The 21,258-nt window shown below is 49.9% G+C and overlaps 1 protein-coding gene across 10 annotated transcripts in view, besides 3 other annotated features; it reads right to left on the bottom strand.

Moving 5' to 3' along the window:
* Positions 139 to 750: an enhancer, noted in NCBI's record as "H3K4me1 hESC enhancer chr17:7736627-7737238 (GRCh37/hg19 assembly coordinates)". NCBI's record gives its function as "activates a minimal SCP1, AML or CMV promoter by ChIP-STARR-seq in naive H9 embryonic stem cells {active_cell/tissue: H9 hESC(naive)}" and the evidence as "EXISTENCE:reporter gene assay evidence [ECO:0000049][PMID:30033119]".
* DNAH2 (dynein axonemal heavy chain 2) overlaps positions 317 to 21,258 on the bottom strand; it is a 115,999-nt gene continuing 95,057 nt past the window's right edge. For 8 of the 10 annotated variants that reach the window (NM_020877.5, XM_047435424.1, XM_011523667.3 and 5 more), the window contains 23 exons: positions 17,324 to 17,488; positions 16,644 to 16,769; positions 16,350 to 16,498; positions 16,203 to 16,269; positions 15,963 to 16,113; positions 15,599 to 15,747; positions 15,283 to 15,416; positions 14,996 to 15,140; positions 14,651 to 14,850; positions 12,690 to 12,816; positions 10,431 to 10,617; positions 10,077 to 10,225; positions 9,755 to 9,938; positions 9,332 to 9,522; positions 3,568 to 3,759; positions 3,217 to 3,401; positions 2,745 to 2,973; positions 2,518 to 2,669; positions 2,284 to 2,398; positions 1,304 to 1,480; positions 1,131 to 1,205; positions 838 to 988; positions 317 to 680 (listed from right to left, as the gene is read on the bottom strand). In NM_020877.5, the coding sequence (NP_065928.2) occupies positions 526 to 680; positions 838 to 988; positions 1,131 to 1,205; positions 1,304 to 1,480; positions 2,284 to 2,398; positions 2,518 to 2,669; positions 2,745 to 2,973; positions 3,217 to 3,401; positions 3,568 to 3,759; positions 9,332 to 9,522; positions 9,755 to 9,938; positions 10,077 to 10,225; positions 10,431 to 10,617; positions 12,690 to 12,816; positions 14,651 to 14,850; positions 14,996 to 15,140; positions 15,283 to 15,416; positions 15,599 to 15,747; positions 15,963 to 16,113; positions 16,203 to 16,269; positions 16,350 to 16,498; positions 16,644 to 16,769; positions 17,324 to 17,488 (3,555 nt within the window). In that variant the 3' untranslated portion in view covers positions 317 to 525. Of the gene's footprint in view, positions 681 to 837; positions 989 to 1,130; positions 1,206 to 1,303; positions 1,481 to 2,283; positions 2,399 to 2,517; positions 2,670 to 2,744; positions 2,974 to 3,216; positions 3,402 to 3,567; positions 3,760 to 9,331; positions 9,523 to 9,754; positions 9,939 to 10,076; positions 10,226 to 10,430; positions 10,618 to 12,689; positions 12,817 to 13,232; positions 13,497 to 14,650; positions 14,851 to 14,995; positions 15,141 to 15,282; positions 15,417 to 15,598; positions 15,867 to 15,962; positions 16,114 to 16,202; positions 16,270 to 16,349; positions 16,499 to 16,643; positions 16,770 to 17,323; positions 17,489 to 21,258 lie in introns of those variants that run through there. The other 2 variants (XM_017024219.2, XM_011523670.3) reach the window with 2 other exon arrangements.
* Positions 11,140 to 11,189: a silencer, noted in NCBI's record as "silent region_8138". NCBI's record gives its function as "represses an Ori minimal core promoter by ATAC-STARR-seq in GM12878 lymphoblastoid cells {active_cell/tissue: GM12878}" and the evidence as "EXISTENCE:reporter gene assay evidence [ECO:0000049][PMID:35858748]".
* Positions 11,200 to 11,249: a silencer, noted in NCBI's record as "silent region_8137". NCBI's record gives its function as "represses an Ori minimal core promoter by ATAC-STARR-seq in GM12878 lymphoblastoid cells {active_cell/tissue: GM12878}" and the evidence as "EXISTENCE:reporter gene assay evidence [ECO:0000049][PMID:35858748]".

The raw sequence follows: 21,258 nt of genomic DNA, 5'->3' as shown, positions 1-21,258 counted from the left end.
GGGCCTCAGGGTGCAGTGTACGGGGTTCAGCCCTGATCCCTGCCTGACAAATCCCTACTCATTTGGATCACGCGCCCTTCTAAGGTAAGCCCCGCCCCACCCACTGAAGTCCTGCCCGGAGACTTAAGCCACAGCCTCTTCAGGCGGCTCCGCCCTGCCCATTCGTTCAGGGCCACGCCTCCGTTCCGCTCCAGGCCGCCCCACCTCCCTCGCTTCTTTCCCCGTCCAGTAGCAGCTCCGCAGTAGCTCTGTCCTCCGTGAGGCCTGGGCTTCCTCCCTCCCCAGACCCTCACCATTGCATTGAGAGACTTAAGGCTTGTTGTCGCGGGTGTTTTACAGCACTGAGCTCCAATACAACTCTTTCACTTTTATGGCTAACACAACTAGGTATCTCCAGGGCCACATCACACAAATTCGGCCAAGGTCAAAGTCTGAGTGAGGTCCGGCCTCAGTCCTAGGTGCAACATCTGTCTTAGCTCCTGGAGTCCCTGACCCTCTCTCTCAAGCGGAGAAGAGGAGGAGGTCTCAGCTGTCCAGGCTCATGAGTAGAGCAGTGCCCCTCTTGATCCAATGATCAGGTGTCATGGCCCCAGACCGCAGGTCAATGCCGATGACAAAGGAGGCTCGGTCTGAGCTGCCTGCCCGGTTGGGATAGTAATAGCAGGGGCAGGAGTACATGCCTGGGGGAAAGGAGAGGAGAAGTCAGACCCCTGGAGCCTCCGGGAGAGCAGGGCAGGAGCAGGGCAGGAGCGGGTGTGGGATGGGCTGGAGCAGAGAATGGGTTAAGTTCCAAACTAGGGACGGGGCAGGCAGGTCCTGCCTGGGGAGCTGTCCCACCCTTGGCGCTCTTCTTGCGGCTCTCTGCAGGCCGGAAGTGGATCGTGGGCATGAGGCAGACAAGCTGCATGGGCTCTGCCTCCACCAAGCAGGAGTTCTTCCGGTCCCAGCCAGCACCTTCCAGGTACAGGCCCCGGACCCAGACACCATCCTGGGGAGAAATGGGAGCAGGTCTGGGAGAAGCTAGACTTCAATTGCCAGCGCCCCTGACCTGCTCCCTCTCTCCTCCCTTTTCGTCCAATTATTTCCAGTACCCTCTTTTGCTCAGAGCCCCAAGCACAACTGGCTCCCACCTTGGGGGGATACACTAGGTTGCTGTCATCCACAGTGGAAACGATAAACTCCCAGGAGAGGCTGTCCACTGAAACCTGGGGGTTGAAGGTGAGAATAAGAGAGGACCCTGAAGAGGAGAACACATACATGGCCCCAGCATACATCCCCCCCTCACACTTTGCACATTGCTCACGTTGTTTTGGCGAGCTGAAGACTGCAGCACAGCAGTGAGGAAGCCAGTGGGAAAGGTGAAACCAGACAACCAGAAGATCACAGGAGGCCGGGCCCGGCTGGCCCACAGCTCAAACTGCTCCACACGCATGGCCAAGTCCCGGGTCCAGGCAGCCAATGGCTTTTGTGAGGGGTATGCCTGGGGAAGGAGTGCGTGTGTATTCACTCATTTAGCCGTGCATTCAAATCCGTATTATTTATTTATTTAGAGACAGAGTTTTGCTCTTGTCCCCCAGGCTGGAGTGCAGTGGTACGATCTTGGCTCACTGCAACCTCCACCTCCCAAGTTAAGCTATTCTCCTGCCTCAGCCTCCCAAGTAGCTGGGATTACAGGCGCCCACCATCACGCCCGGCTAATTTTTGTATTTTTTTAGTAGAGACGGGGTTTCACCATGTTGACCAGGCTGGTCTCAAACTCCTAAACTCAGGTGATCTGCCCGCCTCAGCCTCCCAAAGTGCTGAGATTGCAGGCATGAGCCACCGCGTCCAGCCCAAATCCTTATTTTGAGCACCTGAAGCAGATATGAGAAGACTATGTGGTGGCAGCCCCTGTTCCCCAACTACAGGTGAACAAAGCTCTCCAAAGCCAACTTCTAGGAAAGAGGCATACAACGACAGCTATTCATTCATAACAATGACCGCAGTAATATTAACCAGGTAGCATTGATGAAGCACCTACTGAGTGGTAGGCACAATACTGGGAATCTCTGAAACATCCTTGGAGAGGTTAGTAATTTTCCCTGAGTGAGTCTGTAAGTTAATAAGTTGTATGAAGTCAGTCAATGAATGGCAGAGCCAGGTTTTAACCTTGAACCTATCTAACTTCAAAGTTTCGGCTCTCTGCAGTTTGCTTTATGCCCACCTAGAACCAGGAGATTGGGGGGCCCAGGATTGAGAGGGGAGCTCATTGTTGGAGAAGGATCAACAATGGTATAATCTTGCCTTTCCCCAGAGCGGAGGAACATGGGCATCAAAGATGCAATTGAAAATCTCTTCCAGGCTTGTAGACATGACGATGAGACCCTGGATGCCTTTCTCTAGGTCTGTCAGTGAGAACCTGAGCAGGATGAGGTGGAGTGTTAGAGATGAGGTGGGCCTGGGAACGTCATTCTAGCCAGAAGGCAAAGGCTTCTCCTCACACCCTCCCCTGTTCCGCAGAGTCCCCCTCTGTCTTACAGGATGGTCTGCATCAGTGTGTTGTATCTCTGGATCTCCTGCAGAAGGACCACATTGAGGGGGGAGGGGTCGAGAGCTAGCAGTTTTTGAGTCCCCTCATAGTCGATCATTTCAGGGATCTTCTGCTTCACATCAGCGGCCAACTCAAGGACCTGAGCAGGCAGGAGCTCTTGAGTGTAGCCCCCTCTTCTCATCACTTTCCCTCCCCCAGGCCCGGCTCTTTTTACCTTCTCTTCCCGGGTCTGGCCTCCAGCCCTGGTGGGTGTAATCTGAGGTTGCAAGGAAAGCAAAGTATCAAAGAGGGTTTGTGCCTCAGTGATCTGAGAGGCCACATCAGCATTGGGGTGCTGGCCAAAGGCCTCAGGGGGGTCCATGCCAGGCAATAAGCTGATGTATTCCTTGTAAGAAGCGAGGCTGCCATCCTTGGGGATGAAATAAGTCTCCAGTGCTGACAACCTAGGGAGTCATAGCATAATTACTGCCACATTGTGGGGACTCAGCCCTCAATGCCAGGCCAAGACCCCAAACCTATGCATGTCCAATTTGTCCAGCTCCCTGCCCTGCTCCCCATCTCAATCCCACAAACTCTGTCTTCTTCCAATCTCACGTCCTCTCCTCAAACATTACCCCCACCCCTGATCCCACCACCTGGCTGACTTGTGACCTCTGGCTCCCTGTCCAGGGCCACCTCCCCCTCACCGGTGGAAGGGAGTTGATAGAGACTGGTCACAGAAATAATCATTGATGTAGGTGGTCAGCAGGCGCCGGTCCCAGTCATCTGTGACATGTCCACCATAGTTGATGCCGGCAATGAGGTACTTAAGTGCGTCCCAAGGTGTCTCCTCGTACTCATCGAGATAGAGGCTCAGCAAGTTTTCTGACACCTAGGCATGATCCCAGCCCAAGCCCCCATTCCCAGAGTTATGGCAGGAAATCTGCCAATGGGGCTTCAACACAGGCTTTGTGTCCACGGATATTCCCACAGGGGAGCCATGGGGTAGGACGTGTAAGGAGAGAGGGCTGGGATGAGGACCCCTGGCTAATGCAAACCTCAAAGTCGGAGTCATTGAAGCCATAGATGATGTTCCAGCCAAGCTGCAGGAACTTTTTGCGTTCAAGTAACACAGAGTGGAAGAAACAGAGTGAAAACAGCAGCTTCTTATATTTGGCAGGTTTGGAGCAGCGGGAAAACTGTGGTTCTGACATCAGTTGGTAAAGACGTGTCATGTTGGCCTTTAGGCCCTGGGGACAATGAAATATAAAGATGGGGTGACATGCATCACACTCAGACCTGCCACTAGCACTGCCATGTACAGTTGTGGAGGTTCTTCATTGCACAAAGGCACTGGCTGAAAGGGTGAGTGGAGGCTGAAATGTAGCCGTTGATCTACATGCCAAGATCTACATTCTTCCACAAGGCTGAGTGCCTTTCTCTAATTCACAGATAGGCATTGTATGGGCTTGCGGCAGCCCTGCCTTCTTGTCCCACCACTTTTTTTTTTTTTTTTTTTTTTTGAGACGGAGTTTCGCTGTTGTTGCCCAGGCTGGAGTGCAATGGTGTGATCTCAGCTCACTGCAACCTCTGCCTCCTGGATTCAAGCGATTCTCCTGCCCCAGCCTCCCAAGTAGCTGTGATTACAGGCGCCCACCACCATGCCCAGCTAATTTTTTGTATTTTTAGTAGAGACAGGGTTTCACTATGTTGGCCAGGCTGGTCTCAAACTCGTGACCTCAAGCAATCCACCCGCCTCGGCCTCCCAAAGTGCTGGGATTACAGGTGTGAGCCACCGCACCCAGCCATCCCACCACTTTTGATCCTCTCGGCCCTGATGTTCTCAGTGGTAGGTAGGCCAGCACAATTTGGGGTGCCAGAAAAATGAACAAAGATAAGTACATATACGTTCAACTAACAAAAATGTACGGAATTGCGTGCAAAGGTTAGTGTAGATTAAAAAGTCCATAATATATCATCAAGGAAGAACAGTCTATGTGATTGGCATTATTAGTCTCCATGAGCAAGCTGGGATTTGAACTAAGCCTTCCAAATGGGAAGGATATGACTAGGCTTGAGAGGAGAGTCTTACTTTCCTGGAGATGCAAGGAATTGAATAAAGGCACCGAGGACAGAATAAAGTGACAGGGTGAGCCTGGCTGAAGTCAAGTGCAAGTGCTCAGGTGGGAAGAGGAGGGCCGTGGATAGATGGAGATGCAATAAGAGTAATGGATGTGTGGCCAGGCGCGCTGGCTCACGCCTGTAATCCCAGCACTTTGGGAGGCCGAGGTGGGCAGATCAGGAGGTCAGGAGTTTGAGACCAGCCTGGCCAATATGGTGAAACCCCTCTCTACTAAAAATACAAAAATTAGCCAGGCGTGGTGACACGCACCTGTAGTCCCAGCTACTCGGGAGGCTGAGGCAGAAGAATCGCTTGAACCCAGGAGGAGGAGGTTGCAGAGCGCCACTGCACTCTAGCCTGGGTGACAGAGCAAGACTCTGTCTCAAAAAAAAAAAAATAATAATAATAATGGATGTTTGAGCCATTTGGACTTGATTCACCGGGCATCATGGAGCCAGTCTCTATCTTGAGTAGGACAGCAATCTGTTCAAACAGCGTTTTAAAAAGACTTATCTATGACTGACAGAATGGAATAGTGAGAAACTTGAGGAATACTGGATAGCAGTAACAAAAATAACATGACTTTTTAAAAAATGCCACTTATGACATCAAGATATGTCAAGTACCAAGAAATAAATCCAATTAAAATGTATGATTATTTACGGAGAAAATTACAGAATTTTAGGCCAGGCATAGTGGCTCACACCTGTAATCTCAGCACTTTGGGAGGCCAAGATGGGAGGATCACTTGAGCCTAGGAGTTTGAGACCAACCCAGGCAACGTAACAAGACTCTGTCTCTATTTAAAAAATAAAAAATAAAAAAAGAACATTACAGAATTTTATTAAAATAAATAATAAATGGAGGCTGGGAACAGTGGCTCATGCCACCCGCAATCCCATTGTGCTATGATTGTACCACTGCACTCCACCTGGGCTATAGAGCAAGACCCTCTCTGTCTAAAAAAAGAGGAAAAAATGAATAAATGGAGAAATATACTTAAAGATTAGGAGTTTCATTGTTCTAAGGATGTGAATTTTCCCCAAACTGATGAATAGAATTTTTTTAATAGAACAAACAAATTCTAAAATTTATATTGAAGAATAAAAGGTCAAGAATAGCCTGAAGAAGAATAAGGTAAGAAGATGTGCCTTACCAGCCATCAAGAATTATTATAAAGCTATATGGTAATTAAGACTAAAGTATATCAGCATGGCACTGTGGGTTACACCTGTAATCCCAGCAGTTTGGGAGGCTGAAGTGGGAGGACAGCTTAAGTCCAGGAGTCCAAGACCAGCCTGGCCAACATGGTGAAATCCAGTCTCTACAAAAAAACACAAAAATTAGCCAGAGTGGTGGCACACACCTGTGAGGTGCAGGTGGAAAGATTGCTAGAGCCTGGGAGGCAGAGGTTGCAGTGAGCCAAGATGGTGCCAGTGCACTCCAGTCTGGGCCACAGAGTGAGACTCCATCCCAAACAAACAAACAAACAAACAAAGACTAAAGTATTGATTCCAGGATAAAACAATTTGACCAATGAACAGAATAAAGGACCCTGAAACCCATACATATATGGAAACATGATTGAAGGCTGAGCAGGCACTACAGATCAGAAAAGTACTTTCGCAGTATTTGAGAAGTGGTACTGGGAGAATTGGTTATCCATGTAGAAAAAAAAAATTGGCTGGGCGCAGTGGCTGATGCGTGTAATCCCAACAGTTTGGAAGGCTGAGGCGGGTGGATCACCTGAGGTCAGAAGTTCGAGACCAGCCTGGTCAACATGGTGAAACCCCGTCTCTACAAAAAATAACAAAATTAGCTGGGTAGGGTGGCAGGTGCCTGTAATCTCAGCTACTCAGGAGACTGAGGCAGGAGAATCGCTTGAACCTGGGAGGCAGAGGTTGCAGTGAGCCGAGATCACGCCACTGCACTCTAGCCTGGGTGACAGAGCAAGACTCTGTCTCAAAAAAAGCAAAACAAAACCAAAGAAAATTGGACCTCTACCTCATACCACAGTCACAAAAATGAATTCCAAGTGATTAAAAACTTAAATGTGAAAGTCAAATTATAAATTTTTTGGAAGGCAAGTATAGGAGAGTACTTTTACAATCTTTAAGCAAGGATTTCTTGAACAAGACAAAGGAGCACAAACCATTTAAAAAAGGAAAGATAGCTAAATTCAACCTCATAAAAATTAAGAATTTCTCTTCACCAAAAAACAGCATAAAAGAGAAGAGACAAACCACAAAACACATAACTGACAAAGGATTAGGATCTGGAATATATGAAGAACTACAAAACGCGAAGAACATCATGAATGAATGTCAAGCACATAATGTTGAATGAAAAAAGCAAGTTGCAGAGAAACATATATAGCAATGGTTGCATTAGCAATACAAACTTTTGCATTACAATGAAAAAGAATCCCTAACTCCAGAGGAAAAGAAAAACATTATAAAGAAAATGACAAATACAAGATTCAGAAGAGTGGTTTCCTCTGAGTGGGGAGGGAAAGTGATGAGATTGGGAAGAGGCACACTGGGACTTCAAAGAAAATGCTGGGATTTTTCTTTCTTAAAAGGATGATGGGCCGGGTGCGGTGACTCATGCCTGTAATCCCAGCACTTTGGGAGGCCGAGAGTAGGCAGATTGCCTGAGGTCAGGAGTTCAAGACCAGCCTGGCCAACATGGTGAAACTCCATCTCTACTAAAAATACAAAAATTAGCCAGGTGTGGTGGCGGGCACCTGTAATCCCAGCTACTCGGAGGCTGAGGCAGGAGAATCGCTTGAATCTGGGAGGCGGATGTTTCAGTGAGCCGAGATGGCGCCACTGCGCTCCAGCCTGGGCGACAGAGTGAGGCTCCATCTCAAAAAAAAAAAAAAAAAAAAAAGATGATGGGCACACAGATATTCAAGGAATCATGATCCTTTATAACTTGCATATATTTTATAAATCTTCTTTTGTACCTACTTAATATCTAGCTTTTTTAAAAGACTGGATAGCAGGAAGTGACCCAGGAATATACTCCAGGACTATATCCCAAACTGGCAACTGGGGGCTGTGAATACAGGGACTTTCTTATTTGAAGTAAAACTCAGGCTGGGCACGGTGGCTCACACCTGTAATCCCTGTAATCCCAGCACTTTGGGAAGCCAAGGTGGGTGGATCACCTGAGGTCAGGAGTTCGAGACCAGCCTGGCCACCATGGTGAAACCCTGTCTCTACTAAAAATGCAAAAATTAGTAGGGCGTAGTGGCGCACACCTGTAGTCCCAGCTACTCAGGTGGCTGAGGTAGGAGAACTGCTTGAACCTGGGAGGCGGAGCCCAGGCTGCAGTGTAACAGCGCAATCTCAGCTCCCTGCAACCTCCACCTCTAGCCAGGGTTATCATACCTGAACTCCATATCTAACCTTCCTGAGCTCAGGTGATCCACCTGCTTCAGCCTCCCCAAATGCTAGGATTACAGGTGTGAGCCATCACACCCGGCCTGAGCCACCATGCCTGGCCAAGACGCTTTCTAAAAAAATATCCTGCCTCTAAACGTAATCACATTCTGAGTCTTGGGGGTTGGGACAAAAAAGTGTGAAACGAGTTGCTATTATGGTGCTGGTGTGCCAAGAAGTGCTTTGTAATCTGATGGCAATTCAGAGCTGGCACTGACTTTGGGGCTGATGCCAGAGATGGGATTAGAGTTGAAATCATGAAAAGGACAATTTCTCCAACAACTTGTGAAAGGAGAAAGTAGAATGAGAAACGCTGGGCCAGGACCAAGGGTCCCTCCCCTCTTTGGCCCTCCCCTCTTAGTCCTTAGGTTAAGGAGTAAGTATTGCAATCTGGTCACAGGCAGAGGAAAAAGAAACACCGAAGTAATAAATGATATGTCAAAAGACAGCGGGGAAAGCAGGAGTGATGTGTCAGGGAGCCAGGGAAAGGGACAGTCGACTGTGACAGCTGCCCCAAGTGGCCAAGGAGGATTAATAATGATGAAAGGCACCCATGCGTGATTCAAACAGCTCTTATCTGTTGAGGATGATACATACTGGTCCATGTGCTTTTCACAGGGTGAGCAAAAAGGATTTTGATCTCAACTAAGCGCAATGAAAAGCTACTAAAATAGTTTAAGCAGGGGTGAGTGGGTGAAGCGCAGTGACACGGCAGATTTTAGAGGGTGGTGATGATTGCATTTGGTGATGAGCTTGTGATATTGGAGATAAAAATTTCAGTAGAGTCGGAGGAAAGGAAAGGCAAAGAGGCAGGAAGTGTGACATTCGGAAGAGGATGTAAGGAAATGATGGGAGGCAGGAAGGTTCTGAGGTATAAAAGAATGAATTTGGGGACCCAACTACCCAAACTCTGGCTCTGGAATACTTATTTACTCTTTCTGTATCTCATTTCCTATCTTTAAAATGGGGGTAACAGTATTCACCTTATAGGGTGTGTGTGTGCACACACCCATATTAAACGAGTTAATAAATGTAAAGAACTTAGAACAGTGCGTGGCACATGATAATCACTCAAGAAATGTTAGCTCTTATTATTGTGTTCTAGGAGTTTGGCACAAACAGGAGAGGAATGAGGTGGAATTTTTTGAGGACAATCAAATCATGTTGTTGTTGGTTAAGCCCTCTCTCTGGTGCTAGCAGGAGGTAAGGTGGACCAGATGGCCCTGATGATGCTGGTTCTCTATGGCCACATACCTTTGGTGGCTCTGTGGTCATCTTGATGCTGACCTGCAAGATTGAGATAGGGAAGTCTGGGTGGGGGATGGAGCTGAGCCAGAGGCGGAAGGATGGATGAGGATCCTCCACCTGCAGCTGCTCCACCAGCTTGTCCAGATTAGGCATCCAAGACAGTGACAGGTGGCAGTTTGCCAGGAACACCCAGTGTCCTGCAAGGAGATGCCAGGGTCAGTGGGAATCATTTCCTAAGCCCTGCCTGTCCTCATGCTTTCCACCTGGTGTTGGGGTGGGGGTGCTGGGGGGGCCTAACACTAAGATCTGCCACTTCTGGGGCCCTCTGTAGAAGTGGGAGGTACAGGGACAGTAGTGTAATTGAGGTTGGAGGTTCTAGGGACAAGGACTGGGCTGAAGATGGGGGTGGAAGAAAGGATGGACACCAACCCTGAGTCACACCCTCTCGGAGGAGCCGAGCAGCGATGGGGGCCTGGCCCTGGCCCAGGGACAGGGCGTGGAAGCGCTGGGCCATGCCCATGTGCTCTGCCAGCTGCAGCAGGGCACTGGTGGGGTCCACACCAGGGGACAGGATGAACACGAGTGGGGATCGTGGGGTTGAATCCTCCAGCACCTGCCAGAAGCACAGGTATAGCATCAGGCAGAAGGCCACATGACCAAAGTGGGAGAGAGAGATGAAGGAGACTGAAACAGAGCGAGGGAGGCAGGAAAGACCCATGGGCCGTGGGGACAAGGAAGCCGAGCCACCGACCGACTTCATATTCAGCACAGGCGGCTCGATGAAGCGGGAGCCAAGGTTGGTGATGATGAAGGAGGTCACGCAGAAGGCCACGCGGTCCTGGCGCAGGGAGCGAACGATCAGCATCCGTTGCATTTCATTGCAGGCATTTTCCCACTCACCTGGGGATGAGGTGAGTCATTGCAGGGAGAGGGAGTGAGTCTGGAAGAGCGGGGAATCCAGACAAAGGGGCACCTGCCGGGAATGTGCTCCGGGCCAGGAGGCAGGCACCAGCTGGGAGAGGGGATGGAGGACAATGGGAAGGGCCGGCATGTGGCTGAATGGAGGGAAGGAGAAAAGTGAGAGTGGGACACAGACGCCTGGTACCTGGCAGCATCGCCTTCTCCGGGGCAGCATTGGTATACCACAGGTGCCAGTCACGAGGGTACTGCTCAAAGGAGTTCATGAGTCCGTGGAAGTTGGTCAGTTTGTCTAGCTCTGTGATGTTATCCCAGTAGGCATCTGCAAGCCAGCTACTACATGGATTGTCCATTTGGCCCTCCCGATCCAAGACCTGGTGGGAGAAGGGGAGGAAGAAAGGGATTGACTTGGGAATACTTCAAAAGAAGAGTGATCTTTTTCTCCTCTCTCTCTCTCTCTCTCTCTCTGTATTTTTCTCTCTCTCGGTGGGAAAACCAAATGGAATTTTTTTTTTTTTTTTGAGATGGAGTCTTATTCTTGTCACCTAGGCCAGAGTGCAATGGCACAATCTCGGCTCACTGCAACCTCTGACCCCCAGGTTCAAGCGATTCTCCTGCCTCAGCCTCCTGAGTAGCTGAGATTACAGGTGCTCGCCACCACACCTGGCTAATTATTGTATTTTTAGTAGACACGGGGTTTCACCATGTTGGCCAGGCTGGTCTCGAACTCCTGATCTCAGGTGATCATCCTCCTCGGCCTCCCAAAGTACTGGGATTACAGGTGTCAGCCACCGCGCCCAGCCCAAAATGGCTTTTGTATGAGAGTGAAGAGATGAATACAGGGATCCTGGGGAATAAACGTGGGGGCTAGGACTCAGACCCTGCCCTTAGCCCTCACAGTTCAAATTTAGGAAGCTGGCGCCCTCTGCTGGTTGCCTGGTAATAATGTCTCCAACCTAATGACTGGTTGGTAGCCTCACCTTCACAGAAGCACAAACTATTTACTCATTCATTCACTCACTTGCTTATTCATTCTTCTTAACAAATATTTATTGTTCGCCAACTATGCATTTTAATCATTGGGATGCATTACTGAGCAAAATGGACAAATATATCTGCCCTTGGGGATTTTATTTTCTAACATGGGATTGTGAATTCATGGGCAGATTATGAACCAAAAACATAACAAATAAGTAAATTATCTAGTATAGCAAAGACGGCAGTGCCAAGGAAAAATAGGATACTCTGAGGAGGGTAAGGGAGACTGAGAGTGTTGAGGGGTAGTTTGAAGTATTAAATAAGAAGATCAAGGTCGCATTGAGGTGAGGTCTGAAGGAGGTGAGAGATGGCCAGGTGCACACGCCGGGGAGTAGGCTTCCAGCAGAAGGCATGGCCACGCAAAGGCCCTGAGGCGAGACGTGCCAGGGGGTTTGGGGAGGGCAATGAGGCCTGCGTGGCTGGAGTGGAGTGGGGGCTGTGTGGTGGGAGGTGGCGCCAGCCATGGGGAGCCCGTCACAATGGCATCCACTTTAAAAGGACCTCTCAGGCCGGGCACAGTGGCTCACACCTATAATCCCAGCACTTTGGGAGGCTGAGGTGGGAGGATCACTTGAGCCCAGGAGTTCGAGACCAGCCTGGGCAACATGGTGGGACCCCGCCTCTACAAAAAATACAAAAATTAGCCGGGCGTGGTGGCGCAGGCCTGTAGTCCCAGCTACTCCAGAGGCTAAGATGCGAGGATGGCTTGAGCCTGGGAGGTCGAGGCTGCAGTAAGCCAAGATCACTGCCACTGCGGTCCAGCCACAGTGAGTGACAGAGTGGGACCTCTCTGGTTGCTGTGTTGAGAGTTTGGGGTGGGAGGCAGGAAGTGAAGGTGGGAAAAGTCAAGAAAATGTCTAGGAGGGCGGGAGAGTGCAGCATGGTTGTCTGGAAGCCTTAGGGGCCTCCTTGAGGTTCACGATCATGGACTTAAAGCGCGTCCAGTCGGTGTGGATGTGTTCTTCTCCGGCCATGCTCAGTGCACTGGCCGCGCAGGGACAGAGGGGAAGAGGAGCTGGATCTAGCCAGAGCGGTAGATGCGACAGAGAGAGGAGAAAAGCTGGGGTTGAGGAGCCTGTGAGGGAGAGATTGTGAGGGCGACCATGGAACTCAGGCTGGGGAAGGAGTGCCTTGAAAGGCAGTAAAAAAGCGGCAAGATCAGGCCAGTTTGTGGGTCACAGGTGAGACATGCCACAAAGCCCAGCCTGCGCTGAGTGCAAGGGGGTGCATGGCAAGTCACCTCCGCAGCCCCAGGGAGCTCACCATGCACCTGATGCTGGCCTGGATTTTCTCAGCTCACTCACTGATGCTGTGGGCCTGACCCTCTGGGTCTGGAGTCCTTGTCACACTTGCCCTCATCCCCAACCTTGACCATCCCATCCTGGGATGTGCTCTCTGCCCAACTCACCACACCCCCACGTAGAAAGAAGTTGTATTCATCCATGTTGAGCTTGCCAGAAGTCTCCAAGATTTTGGCACACATATGAAAACTGAATAGTAGTTTGTGGCGTTCGAAAAGGGTACGGCAGGTGTACCTGGGAGAAAGGGACAGGGAAGAGGGAGGGGCAGCATGGAATGGGGGCTGATGCTCCATGCGAATGCTATGATGCTACTATCACACAGCTTCACACAGAGGACCTCACCAGCCTCTAATCCTAACCTCCTGGAAACAGCTGAGGACTCAGGGGCCTAGACACAAGAATTTCCCAGAGTCCACTTATTATTATTATTACTTTTTGAGACAGAGTTTCGCTCTTGTCACCTAGGCTGGAGTACCATGGTACGATCTCGACACACTGCAACCTCCACCTCCCAGGTTCAAGCGATTCTCCTGCGTCAGGCTCCCAAGCAGCTGGGATTACAGGAGCCCATCACCACGCCTGGCTAATTTTTGTATTTTTAGTAGAGATGGGGTTTCACCATGTTGGCAGTCTGGTCTTGAACTCCTGACTTCAGGTGATCCACCCGTCTCAGCTTTCCAAAGTGCTGGGATTACAGGTGTGAGCCAACGTGCCCAGCCATTCACTCATAATTAGTCATTCAGTTCCATTAAAAAACAAAACATTCATTATTCCCCTACTGTCTTGCCAGGCACTCTGCTAGGTCCTGAAGACACAAAGATGAATAAGCCACAGTCTCGGAGAGGACAGAGAGGCCATCAGTTATGATGTCCCTGCCTGCTGGACTTGGAAAGTTTCCGAGGAGCTGCCCCAAGCTGCAGTAGAGTTTTCAGGTGACATGGGAGAGGCAGAGAGATCACAGCATGAGCAAAAGCATGAGAAGGGCACAGCATGCAGGGCAGTCAGGGACGCTCAGGCCCCCAGTGCAAGGTGGGAAAGGTGAGGCTGAGGCAGGAGAAGGCCAGGTCCTGAGGGCTTTCGTGGGCCACAGGGGCCAAGCAACCAACCACTGGCAGTCAGACCCGGGAAGCGGCATGGGCAGATTTGTTCAGGTGGGCAATACAGGAGGGTGGGTTGAGAGGGACAGTGGGTAGAGGCAGAAGGACCTCTAGGAGACCATTGTGCAACTCAGAAAAAAGGATCACCAGGGCCAGAACTAAAGTACAGCCAAGCAGTGGGAAGATGGGGAGGGAACAGTTGCAGAAATATTCATGAACAAAACCTGGTGACTGCTTTGAAAGGGAAGAGTCAAGGATAACTCCCAGTTTTTGCCAGGCGTGGTGGCTCATGCCTGTAATCCCAACACTGTGGGAGACCATGGCAGGAGGATCCCTTGAGCTCAGGAGTTTGAGACGAGCCAGGGCAACATAGGGAGACCCTTTCTGTACAAATAAAAATTATAAAAAATAAAGGATAACTCCCAATTTCTGGCTTGGGTGACTGGGTTGTGGGTGTTGGTGCCATCCAAGGATGAGGACCCTGAAGGAAGAGGGAAGAGAATGAGTTTGATCTGAAGTGAGTTGAGCTTGAAGGGTCTGTGGGATGTCAGGGTAGAGAAGTCCAGTTCCTTGCTGCTCAAATGTGATCCACAGACCAGGAGCAGTGGCACCCCTGGGAGCTTGTTGGAGTTGCAGAACCCAGGCCCCACCCCAGACCTGCAGAATCCCAACCGGTACTTTCACAAGATTGCCAGTGCACTTCCTGCCCGTTAACATCTGGGCAGTGCTGGTATCTCCAACAGTTGTGTAGACAAGTCCAGTGCTCAAGGGAGGGCTACAGACACAAGACAGGGAATCATCAGCCCACAGGTGATGGTTAAGCCATGAGAGTGAGGAGCTACCAGGAGGACATATGCCAAGGACAGCGGCAGGCTGAGAGCCGCGGTGCGGGAAAGCACGAAGGTGCAGTGGCCAGAAGAACCACAGCCACTCGGCCTCCGGGCTGGGGCATGTTGGGGGCACCCTCAGACCTGTAGACAGCGTAGGTGTGGTAGTCATTCAGGTAGTCAATGCGGTCCTCCAGCTTATTGCTGCGGTGGCTTTTGTCAATGCTGAGAATAAAGAGGCTGATGTAGGCATCCAGTGAGAACTGGTACATGGGGTCGATGCAGCCCATATCATTGAGCACGAAGAACAGGATTGATGCCCGCTGGGCGCATGGGCGGTAAGCCTGCCGGTGGGGATGGGTGGAGTCAGGGCCACTGAGGGACGTGGCAGGGAGCAGGGGCTCAGGGAAGGAGGGGTCTCGAGCCGTCATGATGGAGTTGCATCTTGGATGGCTGGTGGGAGGCAGGACTGGAGGGCCGGGAGCTTACCTCCCGCGCCAAGTCAGTGTTGATCTCTGTGGTCTCACTGGTCTCCAGCTGCTCAGTCACCTCTGTGGCTGTGATCTTGGAGGTATGCAGCGTGTTCACCAGCTGCACATCATCCAGCAGGGAGCCGGTGGCCTCATTCAGCAGCCTAGGGGGAGGCCCAGAGGCACATGGAGCAAGGGGTTAGCGGGACCAGGCTCCCTGGGATGCTGTTGTGCCTGGGGTAGACTGGGTGGAGGCTGGCTGGGAGTAGACCCGTGGGGCAGTGGGAGGGGAAGGCAGGGCCTCACCGCAGGATCTCATCCTCCAGCTCCTTGAGCTTCCTTTTACCAGCCGCGATGTTGATGACCAGTGAGTCCTTCTGCTCCTCCAGCTCAGGCCGCTCCTTCCGCACCACAATGCCCAGCAGCTGGGCCTCCAGGCCCTGGGGGCATCAGGACTCACAGTGAGGGGCTGTCACTCCTTCGACCTTCACCTTCCTCATCTCTTTCCACCTTGAAAGACCCCTCATCCTCAGCTGCCCAACACAAGCTTATCCCTTTTCTCAATCCTTCCAAACTCTTCCTGCTTCACCCTAGCTCAGTCTGGACCTCAGCCTGTACCCACCTGTTCTTTAACAGCAAAGTTGACGATGGTGGTCTTGGCTGAGGTCTCTGGGCTGTAGTGGGGGTTGGAGAGCTTGGTGGTGATGTAGAAACGGAAATTGGTATTATATTCCACCTCCTTATCGCCAATGCGCATCAACAGCCGACCACCTGCATCCACGGAAGGGTCAGGGGCAAGGACTCCATGTGATGGGTACCAGCTAACCCATCCCCCACCGGCATCCAGGGGCAGCGACTCAGCCTGTCCTAAGGCCCCAGGCCAGGGCTGTCTGAATGGAGGGACAGGTAAGAAGAGGACACAGTCAGAGAGCCAGCCCTTCCCTCCCTAGCATCCCACTTGGCTGGTCTTGGGGACTTGTCCTGACCGATTCGGGCTACAGATTTGTTGAGCATGGGGTTCAGTGTGGGGTCCAGATATTCCTGCACGTTCTGAAGTAGCACCGGGTATCCAAAGTGAATGGCGTGTTCTAGGATTCGCAGGTAATCGCTCATCTGCAGGTCGATGATCTTCAGGCCCTAGAGAGCAAGGGGGAAGGTGAAGGAACACTACGGGAGAGGTGGGGCCTCAGGAAGGGGGGGGCTAACCTGACCCCCCAGCCTCACACCTGGCCTCCTTCCATGTTCTTAATCCATTTCAGGGCCTGGGCCTGAGGGTCGATCATCAGTGCCCACCTGGAAGGGGAGTACAGGTCAGAGGTGAGGCCCTCTCTCCCATGCTCCCGTACCGCCCCCACGCCCAGCAGCACCCTCACCTGTTGCCTCGGGTGACGATGATGCCATTCTCAGTGGAGAAGGCGTCTGAGGGCAACCCTTGGATGTTCCAGTCCCGGACTTTGGTAGGATTGCACAGGAAGTTATCGATGGCGAAAGAAGGGGAGCAAGGAACCTGAAGCTCCCAGATCTGGGGAGAGAAAAGCCCCATGCTTTAACTTGAAGAGCTGAGCCCAGCAGCCCCCGCGCCTTCACGGTATCTCTTAATATTCCCAAAGGTCCTGCCCCCAGCCCTGGTCTCGGAGCCTACTTGTCATGCCTGAGTCCCATCTCACCTTCCCGATCCAGATTTGGTTGACAATCTCATCCCGGTAGTTGGTCAGGAAGGGTCCCATGTAGGACAGGAAGGCAGCTGCCAGGAGACAGTCCCCCACCAGGTAGCCCAGGTCCTCCTCCAGGCCCTGGCGGACAGGAGGGAGGGTAAGCCTGCCTGGGCCCCAGCACTCTGGGAGACACTTGGAATGCTTTTGAAGGCACCCTCTTCTGGACACTGTCAGGTTCAAAGAGGATCTTTCCCTCCCCTAAACCTGTGTGTCCTGACAACTCTAGCCTGGTTCTAATTACTTTTGAGTTCTCTATCTCTAATGGCAATGTTTACATTCTGGTGATAAGGCCTAACCTTTCTGTGAAGCCAGGAGCTCACTGAGGGGCAGAAGCAAGATGTGCTGTGTCTGTTTTCTGTCTGGTTGTTGGGCTACATCAAGAGTCCTTGTGTGTGCTTCCCAGCCCTGCCCAAACACTGAAGCAGATCCCTAATAATGCAAAAAGCCTTTCCTTCCATTGCTCTCACCAAAGGTGTGCAGGGGGAGGGGAAGAGCTCCCACGCCTCAGTTCTTAGAGTTCCCTATACCCAGGTGTCCCCGTTTTCCCTGACTGCTCCTCAAGCTAAAAGGGATGGGTCTCTCGGAAGTGGCGAGCAGAGTGAAAGGACACCAGGTAGTACAGCTGATCTCACCTGGACTGTCTCCTCCCATCTGGCCTTCTCGCCAGCCAACCCCGACACGAGCATCCCAGCTCGCTCCAGCTTCAGCTCCATCTCTTCAGACTTCTTGCGAAGCTCCTCCTTCTGTGCCAGCTTCTCATCATACTGTTTCTTTAGCATCTCCAGTTTCTCAGCTACCTGGGAGAGATTCGAGTATAGCGCATCAAACACAGGGCTCGCAGCCAGATTGTTCTTGTTCACATCATGACTCTGCCATTTTGTAGCTGCCATTTTGTAGCTTTGTTAAATTAATCTCTTTGAGCCTAGTTTCCTCATGTTGTAAAAGAATACCTACCCTATAGGGTTATCGTGAAGAGTAAATGAGATAAAATACGTGAGATGAGGTGAATTTTCTTCCCCTTCCTTCCACCACCCTTTCCTAGAGCCCAGAAACTACTTGGTAGTTTCAGGGTAGCTGGGTAGGGGACGGAGACCTCTTGAAGCATAATAAGCCACACAAGATGGTGGCAAGTGAAGGCCAGACAGCACATAAATGACTGCCACTCCATGCCAGAGGCCATACCTAAGGTGGAACCTTGAAAGAGGAAGAAAAAGAAAGAAATGAACCCAAGAGCTGTTAGAGGGAGAGTCCATTCGAGACAAAGAGCTGGCTGGGCGTGGTGGCTCATGCCTGTAATCCCAATACTTTGGCAAGCCAAGGCAGAAGGATCACTTGAGGCCAGGAGCTTGAGACCAGCCTGGCGACATGGTGAGACCCCGCCTCTATTCAAAAAGTAGAAAATAAGAATAAAAATAAAAAGACAAAGGACCAAGTGCAAGGTCCCACACTAGAGATGGAGGCCTGGGCAGAGCTGTGTATACTAGAGAAACCCCTCTCAAGTCATTGCCACCTGTGGACTCTGTGGAGGTTGGAATGAATATATATATATTCACTGAAATCTGAAGGAGAGAACTGATAGAGCCTTGTCCCAAGATCCTGTATATGTGTGTGTGATCCTGTATATGTGTGTGTGATCCCGTATACGTGTGTGTGATCCCGTATACATGTGTGTGATCCCATATATGTGTGTGTGATCCCGTATATGTGTGTGATCCCGTATACGTGTGTGTGATCCCGTATATGTGTGTGTGATCCTGTATGTGTATGTGATCCTGTATATGTGTGTGTGATCCTGTATATGTGTGTATGATCCTGTATATGTGTGTGATCCTGTATATGTGTGTGTGATCCTGTATATGTGTGTGTGATCCTGTATGTATATCTGACCACCCAACAGCAGTTGTGCCTGGTTACAGACTGTATCACCGTCCTTTTCATCATGAGGAATATGGGGTGGGGGATTACACATAGCATTTACACGATACATGTTCCCTTTCCCGCTGCCACCTCACTGGGAAAGGCAGCCCACATCGTGGAAATAGTTCCACTACTAGAAAGTAGAAGTAGCTCTGCCTTAACTGAGTAATTCTGGTAAGTTTCATCCTTTCGGAGCCTCGCCAAGGTGGCTGCAGGTAAGGGTGATGTGGGCTATGGCACGGTGCAAGGCACACAGCAAGCAAGCACTACCTGACCCAAGCACTTGGAAATGGGAGAGATCACTCTCCAGAAGATATTCTTTAAAACAACATGGAGGGCCAGGTGCGGTGGCTCACCCTGTAATCCCAGCACTTTGGGAAGCCAAGGCAGGCAGATCACCAGGTCAGGAGTTCCAGACCAGCATGGCCAATCTTTTTTCTTTTTCTTTTTTTTTGTCTCAAAAAGAAAGAAAGACATACATGCACGAGGTTAAAACCTAAATGATATAAAAGAGGTTACAGGAAAAGTAGCATCTAGACCACCTTTCCCACAGCCAGACTTCTTCCTCTGAGGCAAACTACTTTGTTTGTTTGTTTGTTTTGAGACGGAGTCTCGCTCTTGTCTCCCAGGCTGGAGTGCAATGGCACATCTCACCTCACCGCAACCTCTGCCTCCTGGGTTCAAGCGATTCTCCTGCCTCAGCCTCCCGAGTAGCTGGAATTACAGGCATGCACCACCACACCCGGCCAATTTTTGTGTTTTTAGTAGAGGCTGATCTCAAACTCCTGACCTCAGGTGATCCTCCAGCCTCAGCCTCCCAAAGCGCTGGGATTACAGGCGTGAGCCACCACGCCCAACCATGGCAAACTACTTTTTAACCACTTTTCTTTTTATTTATGCTGGTTGTTACTTCTGTATCTCTGAAAAATTATGCGTATGCCTCTATTTTTAAAGTATGCTAATCTCGTTGGAGCTTTAAATTTTTAAAAATTATTATGAAAACTTAAACCTAGAAACACCCATCAGCTAGATTTCACAGTTAACATTTTGCTATATATATTTCATCTACTTGTTTTTTGCCAAAATATCTTTAAGTAAATTAAAAACTCATGAAATCCTCAAGCCTAAATACTTTATAACATATCTTTAAAAGTAATAATAATGACATTTTTCTGCATAACCACAACACTATTATTACACCTAATAAAATCTTTGTCATATCTTAGAAAATAATTTTTACTATCTGTTTTTTTTTTTTTTTTTTTGGAGAATAGTGAATATATTTACATAAATCAAAATCCAAAAGGAACGAAAGTGCACCCGGTTAAGGGGAAGTCTTCCTGCCATTCCTGAGCCTGGTCCCAGGCCCTGCCCTAGTTTCCCGTGTAGCTTTCTAGAATAGTCCATGCACAGAATCATTTATATATAAAGAAAATATAAGCACAGTGAAGTCAGAGACTTGTTCACCACTGAATCCTTAGACCTAAAATAATGCCCAGCACTCACATATTTTTTTGAATAAATAATTTTTTTTTTTTTTTTTGAGACAGAGTCTCACACTGTCGCCCAGGCTGGAGTGCAGTGGCGCCATCTTGGCTCACTGCAACCTCCACCTCCTGGGTTCAAGCGATTCTCCTGCCTCAGCCTTCCGAGTAGCTGGGATTACAGGTGTGCACCACCATGCCTGGCTAATTTTTGTATTTCTAGTAGAGACAGTGTTTCAACATGTTGGCCAGGCTGGTCTCGAACTCCTGACCTCCAGTCATCCACCCGCGTCAACCTCCCAAAGTGCTGGAATTACAGGCATGAGCCACTGGGCCTGGCCAGAATAAATGAATTTTTAATCAGTGGTTATATGCTATAATACTGTTTGTACTTCACTATTTTTTTTACTTGTTTCCAAATCAGTTCTTGTGAGCTGCCTCATTCTTTTTAGTAGCTGCAAAATACTCTTATGTGAGACTGAACTATGATTTATGTAACAAGTCTCCTACGGATACACATTTGTGTTTTTCCAACATTCTGCTATTAACAACGCTGTAATAAATATCCTTGTACAAGGCCAGGCATGGTGGCTCACACCTGTAATCCCAGCACTCTGGGAGGCAGAGGCGGGAGGATTGCTTGAGGCCAGAAGTTTGAGACCGTAGCAGCACAGCAAGACCCTGTCTCTATGCCCCCCACCAAAAAAAAAAACCTACAAAAGAAAAAAAGAGAAATTCGTATACAGGCATAAGCACGTCTTCACACTGCTATTTCTCGTTCCTTTAAATTTTACTTTGTGAATTTTTTAATAGCTATCAAAAATTCAAAAGGCCTAAGGGCATGAGGATATGAAAGATCTTCCTCCTAACCCTGTTCCCCACTCAGCCAGGTTCCTTCTTTAGAGGCAGCCAGTGTTACCTGTTCCTTGACTCTCCTTCCAGAGGTATTCTATACATATACAAGTAGTCTTACTGCTGTTGCCTGGTGTATCCATTTTAGGCTTTTTTTTTTTTTGACACAGAGTCTCACTCTTGTCACTCAGGCTGGAGTGCAATCATTCAGTCTCAGCTTCTCAGCTCACTGCAAACCCCGCCTCCCGGGTTCAAGTGATTCTCCTGCCTCAGCCTCCCTAGTAGCTAGGATTACAGGTGCCCACCACCACGCC

Source organism: Homo sapiens, chromosome 17 (assembly GCF_000001405.40).
Source record: "Homo sapiens chromosome 17, GRCh38.p14 Primary Assembly".
NCBI lineage: Eukaryota > Metazoa > Chordata > Mammalia > Primates > Hominidae > Homo > Homo sapiens.
This window is presented reverse-complemented; position numbering and strand designations above follow the sequence as displayed.